Source organism: Homo sapiens, chromosome 1, assembly GCF_000001405.40.
Source record: "Homo sapiens chromosome 1, GRCh38.p14 Primary Assembly".
NCBI lineage: Eukaryota > Metazoa > Chordata > Mammalia > Primates > Hominidae > Homo > Homo sapiens.
Window position 1 is genome coordinate 152,397,535 of NC_000001.11, and position 10,265 is coordinate 152,407,799.

Genomic DNA, 10,265 nt, shown 5'->3' on the forward strand with positions numbered 1-10,265 from the left:
TTGTGGAAGACAATTTTTCCAAGGTCCCCAAGGGCTGAGGGGATGGTTTAGGGATGAAACTGTTCCACCTCAGATCATCAGGTCTTAGCTTCTCATAAGGATCATGCAAACTAGATCCCTTGCATGTGCAGTTCACAATAGTGTTCGACAGGAGGCAGAGCTCTGGCGGTAATGCTCACTCTGCTGCCGCTCACCTCCTGCTGTGTGGCCTGTTTCCTAACAAACCATGGACTTGGGTACCCTTGTTCTATAGCATTGTATGGTGAATATAGTCAACGATAATTTATTGTCTATGTTCTAAAAGCTAGAAGGGAGGATTCTGAATGTTCCTAACACAAATAAGTGACAATTGTTTGAGGTGATGGATATGCTAATTACCCTAATTTGATCATTATGCATTGTGTATATGTATCAGAATATTACTCTATACCCCATAAATATGTACAATTATTATGTATCAACTAAAAATAAGAGGAAAAAAAATCCAAAACAAACACAAAAATCCTGGGTCTGGTACACCACCTGGCTCTCTGGTTACCTAACTGATTTACTTTTCTTTTCTAAACAGAACACCAGAGAATTCCAAAAGTACATGTTACTATGTTGCCACCCAGGACACCTCTCCAAAAAGTATTCCTCTTTTTGTCACTTTCTAGTATCAGCTCTTTTCCAGAGAATCCCTAGATAAACCAGAACCAGTGTCTTCTCTGCATTTCACCCAGAGCCATGGGCTCATAACCACCCGATAGTACCATGGAATGGGGAGCCTCTCCCCTGGAGGGTGTTTAGTGCTGTGAAAAGAAGGTCCAGAGGCCCCTTTCAGCCATGATGGATAGGAGGTGATGCTGCCTTGAAAGTTTAGCCTTGTCTGTTCCAACAGGCCCACACCCTCACCCTCATCCCCTCTAAAAGAACTGGGCCTTGTGGATCTGTAAGCCTCTCACCACTCATGCAGACCCTAGGGGCAAAGCCATTCGGCTGCTTTAGTTTCTTAGCTTTTTTTCCCTCCATTGAATGGAAGTAGGTAAGAATAGGATGTGCTCATTCCAGCCCGAACTCTGCTTACTTTCTAAAGATGTGGCCAAGGGAATCATCATTTATTAATTATTTGTAGCTCGTGGATAAATGGGGAACACTGAGGACGTGTCACACAGAGCTGAGTGGTGGCCTACATCAGTCCTGGGAGTTGAATCCACAGCCTTCTGTGAGTGACCAGGACAACAGCAGGCTATAGCCTTGGTCTCAGGGCTCCTAGGAGAAGTGCACAGACCATCACTTTCTGCCTTGAGGAGGGAGAGCCACAGGATGTTGACCTCCCTGCCTCTCTGTAGGGACTGCTCCAGAAATGTGCTTTCCCAGGTGGGATAATCAGGACATCCTCACACAGTGTGCCAAGGCCCTGGAAATGATGTAGATGTATAGTTGCTGGAAGACAGTTGCCAGTAGGAGTGGCTCCATGAAGGGCACTCCTTAAACACACACACACACACGCATGCACACACACACACACTCAGCCCCAAGGCTCAGAGCAGCCTGGGGCTGCTCTCACTACTGGTAGCTTCACTAGTGAGGGTTCAGGGCCACTTACTCTGGGTGCTGCTGTGCCCAAGACCACACCACTGAGCCCATTCCCACGTCTGATGCCACCTTCCTTCCTATTCCAGCAAAATCACATTTACTACCAGAGCTCCTTTACAGGTATTAGTCGTAACTGCCACCAGGGGACAGCAGCACAGTATACTTGCTGTCTATGCAGACTGGGAAGCTACCTGGTGAAAGAGGTTTTCTGGGCCTTTGTAGTGAGTCTTCAGCCCTGAGTGTCCCTGAGGACAGGGCCATTTTACACACTATGACCAATCCAATGTGACTGGGACTTATGAGCTCTGCAAGAGCCAACAAAAATATTTGAATCAAAAATAAATAGATAGGGGCTATGCCATGCCCTGTGCGTGAGCAGCTGCAGCGGCAGAGGCAGCATCCAGAGGTGGCGCCAGCAGTTCCAGCCCGTTGCTTTACTTTTTGCTACACCGACATAGCCACTATGCAGAAGAGAAAGTCTCCAGAGAATACAGAGGGCAAAGATGGCTCCAAAGTAACTAAACAGGAGCCCACAAGATGGTCTCCCAGATTGTCAGCAAAACCTCCTCCACCAAAACCTGGACCCAAACCAAGAAAAACATCTGCTAAGAAAGAACCTGGAGCAAAGGTTAGCAGAGGTGCTAAAGAGAAGAAAGGAAAAGTAGGAAGCTGGAAAGGAAGGTACTGCACCAGCTGAAAATGATGAAACTAAAGCTGAAGAGGCACAGAAAACTGAATCTGGAGATAACCAGGGAGAATAAATTGTCATGAAAAACAGGTTAATTTTATGTATCTCTTAGGTGAACTTTTAAAAGCTGTTTTTACTAAGTATTTTCTAAATGCTAATTTTTTAGGACTCTACTAGTTGGCATACAAAAATATGTAAGGATGGACATTTTACCCTCTCATAATCATGCTTTTTGGACATTTCCATCATCCTCAAGTAAAATAAATATCAGTTTAATATTGGAAACTGTGTGTAAGATTGATTCAGCATTCCATGCACTTGCTTTAAAATTTAGTCCTGTGTATACTGTGGTGTTTTTACTGTGCATATTTGAGTTTTTCATGCAGTTTTTCTTTTTCTTTTATTTTATTATTATTATACTTTAAGTTTTAGGGTACATGTGCACAATGTGCAGGTTAGTTACATATGTATACATGTGCCATGCTGGTGTGCTGCACCCATTAACTCGTCATTTAGCATTAGGTATATCTCCTAAAGCTATCCCTCCCCACTCCCCCCACCCCACAACAGTCCCCAGAGTGTGATGTTCCCCTTCCTGTGTCCATGTGTTCTCATTGTTCAGTTCCCACCTATGAGTGAGAATATGCGGTGTTTGGTTTTTTGTTCTTGAGATAGTTTACTGAGAATGATGATTTCCAATTTCACCCATGTCCCTACAAAGGACATGAACTCATCATTTTTTATGGCTGCATAGTATTCCATGGTGTATATGTGCCACATTTTCTTAATCTAGTCTATCATTGTTGGACATTTGGGTTGGTTCCAAGTCTTTGCTATTGTGAATAGTGCCGCAATAAATATACGTGTGCATGTATCTTTACAGCAGCATGATTTATAGTCCTTTGGGTATATACCCAGTAATGGGATGGCTGGGTCAAACGGTATTTCTAGTTCTAGATCCCTGAGGAATCGCCACACTGACTTCCACAATGGTTGAACTAGTTTACAGTCCCACCAGCAGTGTAAAAGTGTTCCTATTTCTCCACATCCTCTCCAGCACCTGTTGTTTCCTGACTTTTTAATGATTGCCATTCTAACTGGTGTGAGATGGTATCTCATTGTGGTTTTGATCTGCATTTCTCTGATGGCCTGTGATGGTGAGCATTTTTTCATGTGTTTTTTGGCTCATAAATGTCTTCTTTTGAGAAGTGTCTGTTCATGTCCTTCGCCCACTTTTTGATGGGGTCATTTTTTTTTCTTGTAAATTTGTTTGAGTTCATTGTAGATTCTGGATATTAGCCCTTTGTCAGATGAGTAGGTTGTGAAAATTTTCTCCCATTTTGTAGGTTGCCTGTTCACTCTGATGGTAGTTTCTTTTGCTGTGCAGAAGCTCTTTAGTTTAATTAGATCCCATTTGTCAATGTTGGCTTTTGTTGCCATTGCTTTTGGTGTTTTAGACATGAAGTCCTTGCCCATGCCTATGTCCTGAATGGTAATGCCTAGGTTTTCTTCTAGGGTTTTTATGGTTGTAGGTCTAACGTTTAAGTTTTTAATCCATCTTGAATTAATTTTTGTATAAGGTATAAGGAAGGGATCCAGTTTCAGCTTTCTACTTATGGCTAGCCAGTTTTCCCAGCACCATTTATTAAATAGGGAATCCTTTCCCCATTGCTTGTTTTTCTCAGCTTTGTCAAAGATCATATAGTTGTAGATATGTGGTGTTATTTCTGAGGGCTCTGTTCTGTTCCATTGATCTATATCTCTGTTTTGTTACCAGTACCATGCTGTTTTGGTTACTGTAGCCTTGTAGTAGAGTTTGAAGTCAGGTAGCATGATGCCTCCAGCTTTGTTCTTTTGGCTTAGGATTGACTTGGCGATGCGGGCTCTTTTTTGGTTCCATATGAACTTTAAAGTAGTTTTTTCCAATTCTGTGAAGAAAGTCATTGGTAGCTTGATGGGGATGGCATTGAATGTATAAATTACCTTGGGCAGTATGGCCATTTTCACGATATTCATTCTTCCTACCCATGAGCATGGAATATTCTTCCATTTGTTTGTATCCTCTTTTATTTCATTGAGCAGTTGTTTGTAGTTCTCCTTGAAGAGGCCCTTCACGTCCCTTGTGAATTGGATTCCTAGGTATTTTATTCTCTTTGAAGCAATTGTGAATGAGAGTTCACTCATGATTTGGCTCTCTGTTTGTCTGTTATTGGTATATAAGAACGCTTGTGATTTTTGTACATTGATTTTGTATCCTGAGACTTTGCTGAAGTTGCTTATCAGCTTAAGGAGATTTTGGGCTGAGACAATGGGGTTTTCTAGATATACAGTCATGTCATCTGCAAACAGGGTCAATTTGACTTCCTCTTTTCCTAATTGAATACCCTTTATTTCCTTCTCTTGCCTAATTGCCCTGGCCAGAACTTCCAACACTATGTTGAATAGGAGTGATGAGAGAGGGCATCCCTGTCTTGTGCCAGTTTTCAAAGGGAATGCTTCCAGTTTTTGCCCATTTGGTATGATATTGGCTGTGGGTTTGTCATAGATAGCTCTTATTATTTTGAGATATCCATCAATACCTAATTTATTGAGAGTTTCTAGCATGAAGGGTTGTTGAATTTTGTTCAAAGGCCTTTTCTGCATCTATTGAGATAATCATGTGGTTTTTGTCTGTTTATATGATGCTGGATTACATTTATTGATTTGCGTATATTGAACCAGCCTTGCATCCCAGGGATGAAGCCCACTTGATCATGGTGGATAAGCTTTTTGATGCTCTGCTGGATTCGGTTTGCCAGTATTTTATTGAGGATTTTTGCATCAATGTTCATCAAGGATATTGGTCTAAAATTCTCTTTTTTGGTTGTGTCTCTGCCTGGCTTTGGTATCAGGATGATGCTGGCCTCATAAAATGAGTTAGGGAGGATTCTCTCTTTTTCTATTGATTAGAATAGTTTCAGAAGGAATGGTACCAGTTCCTTCTTGTACCTCTGGTAGAATTCGGCTGTGAATCCATCTGGTCCTGGACTCTTTTTGGTAAGCTATTGATTATTGCCACAATTTCAGAGCCTGTTATTGGTCTATTTAGAGATTCAACTTCTTCCTGGTTTAGTCTTGGGAGGGTGTATGTGTCGAGGAATTTATCCATTTCTTCTAGATTGTCTAATTTATTTGCATAGAGGTGTTTGTAGTATTCTCTGATGGTAGTTTGTATTTCTGTGGGATTGGTGGTGATATCCCCTTTATCATTTCTTATTGCATCTATTTGATTCTTCTCTCTTTTCTTCTTTATTAGTCTTGCTGGTGGTCTATCGATTTTGCTGATCCTTTCAAAAAACCGGCTCCTGAATTCATTAATTTTTTGAAGGGTTTTTTGTGTCTCTATTTCCTTCAGTTCTGCTCTGATTTTAGTTATTTCTTGCCTTCTGCTAGCTTTTGAATGTGTTTGCTCTTGCTTTTCTAGTTCTTTTAATTGTGATGTTAGTGTGTCAATTTTGGATCTTTCCTGCTTTCTCTTGTGGGCATTTAGTGCTATAAATTTCCCTCTACACACTGCTTTGAATGTGTCCCAGAGATTCTGGTATGTTGTGTCTTTGTTCTTATTGGTTTCAAAGAACATCTTTATTTCTGCCTTCATTTTGTTATGTACCCAGTAGTCATTCAGGAGCAGGTTGTTCAGTTTCCATGTAGTTGAGCGGTTTTGAGTGAGATTCTTAATCCTGAGTTCTAGTTTGATTGCACTGTGGTCTGAGAGACAGTTTGTTATAATTCATGCAGTTTTTCTAGATCAATAATCAGTGGTGCTTTTGTACCTAGGTTTTATGTGATTTTAATAAAACATGGATAGTTATGGCCACCTGCTGACAATTTGAGGTTTAAAATATTTAAAATGTAGATATCTTTCCATAGGTATACCTGTGTGTCAGCTCCAAAATAAATGTGCAATGGAAATCTATAAACATTTAAATTTAAATGTCTAGATATAAAGCTCTGTGAATCTCATTTATTGTTAAATTTAGTAGTAATAAAAAATTCTTACTTGTTAAGCAATTTTAATGTATATATTTTTTCAAAAACGTGCTCTGTAGTTGCAAAGAAGTCATAGCTAAAATGAGGCAAATGTACAACTTATGTCCTAATTCCAAAAACAAAACTATAAAATTTTTTTCAAAAAATTGTCAGCAAAAATTGTATTTAAGTGGTCTGTGTGTACATTTTAATGTGTTTGATATGATTTGGAAGGATGATTACTCTATCCTTTGAACAAAATAGAGTCTGTCTCAGAAAGTGTAAATACTTCATTCCCATCAAGTCTCTGTATTTTCCACAAATTTTCCCTCTTGTCTAAAATAACGTGCACATTTTTTGAAAGAAGCCTCTATGTGCAAACTTTAAAAGTCAAGGATGGCCAGTAAGTCCCTACAGGAGATGGAGGGGGTGGGCCTGAGATGGAGCAGCCTAGTTGCCTTGAATGTTACATGAATGCTTAAACAGGGGTTTAGGGCCCCTCTCTTAGGCCTCTGGGCTCTGAACTACTTTGAGAGAACATCCTTCTTGAGTCATAGACACATCTGTCAAACCTTAACTGTTGAAAGGAATGGTCACTCATAATCTTCCTATTCTTGCAAGGTCCTAGGAACATGGATGCTGAGATGGTGTCTTCTCCATATTTTCATGGCCAGACTTCCTGTTAAGGCTGGAGGTGAGAAGTGGAAGGACCACTTTCTACGGCTTCCTCCCCAGCCCCTTTGGATGGATCTTCATACACTCTGGTGCCCTTTCTTATCTGTGAGGTTTGACCTGACACTGAGTTGAGAGTCCGAGGACCTGGGTTTAGTCCTATTTCTGCCTCTTTCTTTCTAACTGCATAACTTTTGACAACACTAAAGAAACTCCATTTTCTTATTTGCTATGAGCTTGATTATGTCTATGTTTCCACAGTCACATGTCTGTGTAGGGATTATGTTAATTTATGTATGTGACAGGAAAGATTAGGATATTCAATTCCTTTAACAAATAATTATTGAATGCTAGGCACTACTTCAGACACCAAAGCAACAGCAGGAACAAAACAGGCACATGTAGTATTGCTGAACTGTACCAAATTCCTCTCCACTGAGGCTCATTTTGCATTCCCACCAGAAGGTGTGAAAATGCCTGCTTTACCTCATCATCATCTATTCTCAAACTTGTAGATTTTTGTCAAGCTGATAGTGAGAATGGTATCTCAAACTAGTATAGTTTTGGTTTATGCTTCTAGTATTACAAACAAGCTTTAGCATCTTTTCATATATTTAAGCATCATTTGTATTTTTTGTGAGCTATCTGTTTGTATCTTTTGCCCATTCTTATTTCTTATTTTGTGTGTTTGTGCCTTCTTACCCCACCTTTTTCACTCTTTTCAAAATTAGGTTGGTTTTTCTACTTGTTGATTCCAAAAAAAAAAAAAAAGAGGATTATCTATTCATTTACTTACTTATTTAGTTGTTGACTGTTTTGTGAACTTATACTTTTATTAATTTTTATGGGGAATTCATGTAGCTGTGTTCTACAGATCCTTATATGTCTAGTTTAATTATCATTTTCTAAAAATTCTGCAATTTCATTTTATTTTCAGTTCCTTTTATTCAACAGTTTTAAAATAATATGTGTGTGTGTGTTTATATATATGTTTTTAATTTCCAACAACAACACAGATTTGGTAAAATCCATCACTATTACATGTTCTTTTAAGAATGCTATTTGTGGCCAGGGGCAATGGTTCATGCCTTTAGTCTCAGCACTTTGGGAGGCTCAGGAGGGCGGATCACTTGAGCTCAGGAGTTTGAGACCAGCCTGGGAAACATGGCAAAACTCCCTCTCCACAAAAAATACAAAAATTAGCCAGGTGTGGTGGCAAGGGCCTGTAATCCCAGCTACTCGGGAGGCTGAGGCAGGAGAATTGCTTGAACCTGGGAGCTGGAGGCAGCAGTGAGCTGAGATCATACCACTGCACTCCAGCCTGGGTGACAGAGTGAGACCCTGTCTCAAAAAGAAAAGAAAGAGAGAGAGAGAGAGAGAGAAAAAGAGAGAGTGAGAGAAAGAGAGAGAGAGCGAGAGAGACACAAGCAAGCAAGCAAGAAAGAAAGAAAGAAAGAAAGGAAGAAAAGAAGGAAAAGAAAAAGAAAGAAAGAAATAATTCTATTATTATTATTATTATTATTGAGACAGGGTCTCCATCTGTCACCTAGGCTGGAATGCAGTAGCACAATCTCAGCTCACTGCAACCTCTGCCTCCTGGGCTCAAGCGATTCTCTTTCCTTAGCCTCCTGAGTATCTGGGACTATAGGCATGTGCCATCATGCCCAACTAATTTTTGTATTTTTCTTTTTGTTGAAATGGTATCTCATTATGTTGCCCAGGCTGGTCTTGAACTCCTGAGCTCAAGCAATCTGCCCGCCTCAGCCTCCCAAAGTGCTGGGATTACAGGCATGAGCCACCACACCTGGGCCTATTTCTATTTTTGAATAATGCATTGAAGTTTTCTTTGTGACCTGATATTGAATATTTCATGTGTAGACGGTATAGTTTTTTCTTGTTAGGTTAATACATTGCTGGACTATATGTCTGTAGAGTTCTTTATATCTTATTGAATGTACTGTTTCTTCTCTACACTTACTGTCTTGAGCTGAGAGAGATGATTAAAGTGCCCTATTATTACTATGTTATTTTCTTTAAGTTTTTCCTTGTATCTCTTATAGTTTCTGTGTCATCAGAGTTGTGCTACATTATTGAATGCATAGATATTAAAAACCATTATATCTTCATTGTGAAATTATAGCATTTGGCATTTTAAAGCTTCCTTCTTAGTCTTATTTAATGCCTTTTGATCTAATCTGGGATCAAGATCATGACTCCTGATTTCTAAATTTTGTTTTAACCTGCATTTTCCTGATATATATTAACTCAACCACCCTGTTTACAAATTGTTTTCTGACTCTCTTTGATTTGCACACCTCTTGTAAGGAGCATAGACTTGTATAGAGCTAATATGCAACTTGTTCATCTAGTAGTGAGTTAAGCTCTTGACATTATTGTTATAAATATGTTTGACCTCAGTCTATCACGCTCTTTTATGTCCTATTTATGAAAATATGTATCTTTTACATAAATAACATCATCCACTCTGTTATCTGTGTTATTTGCTTTTTTCTAGAATGTCTTTTGGTGTTGAGGAAGGTTTGTATTTGTGTTGTTATCTTATAGTACATCTTTATGTAATATGTATTCTGTATTCCCCCTTCCCTTTAATAAATGGCATATTCACTCTCCACTCTAAGTAATGATGGAATTTTCTGGAAATTTTCACCTTACCCTCCTTCTTCCTTTCTCAGTATCTAATGTGAAGTGATATCCTTTCACTCCCAGTTTTTCCTTGTAAGCATATGCTTATATTAAGACAATCAGGGAGCTCATTCTACTTTCTGTATGCTTTCTCTTTCTCCCTTCATTTTTTTGTTAGCTGTATTGTATTTAAATTTTCAGTGCATATAACATGAAATGCTATTCTGTCACCTTTATCCACATTATGTAGTCTTAGTTCTACAGTGGAATATATTTAAATGTGCATCATCAGATTGTATGCCAAACAGTTCTGTGATTCTGGGTTTAGTGTGTATGTATGTGCGCTGATTCTCTAGTAGATTCCCCAGAAAGGGCTTATGGGAGCAATATTCCCTGAGTCTTTGCATTTTCTTTGCTGTTTTTCTTTGGCCTTTATGCTTATAAGCCAGCATGAATTGATATAAAATCAATTTGTCCTCAGAAGAACAACCTTGCCTTTCACACATTCACCCTTTACTACTCTGGCTCCAGCTCTAGGTTTTTGCTTGGTGTGTTAGTTTTCTATCACTACTGTAGCAGTTTACCATAAACTTAATGCCTTAAAATGACAAAAATTTTATTCTCTTACAGGCCTGAAGGTCAGGAGTCTAAAACTGAGGTGGCAGAAGGGCTATGT

The 10,265-nt window shown here is 39.2% G+C and overlaps 1 pseudogene; it reads left to right on the forward strand.

The window, feature by feature from the left end:
• HMGN3P1 (high mobility group nucleosomal binding domain 3 pseudogene 1) lies at positions 1,929–6,149 on the forward strand (annotated as a pseudogene).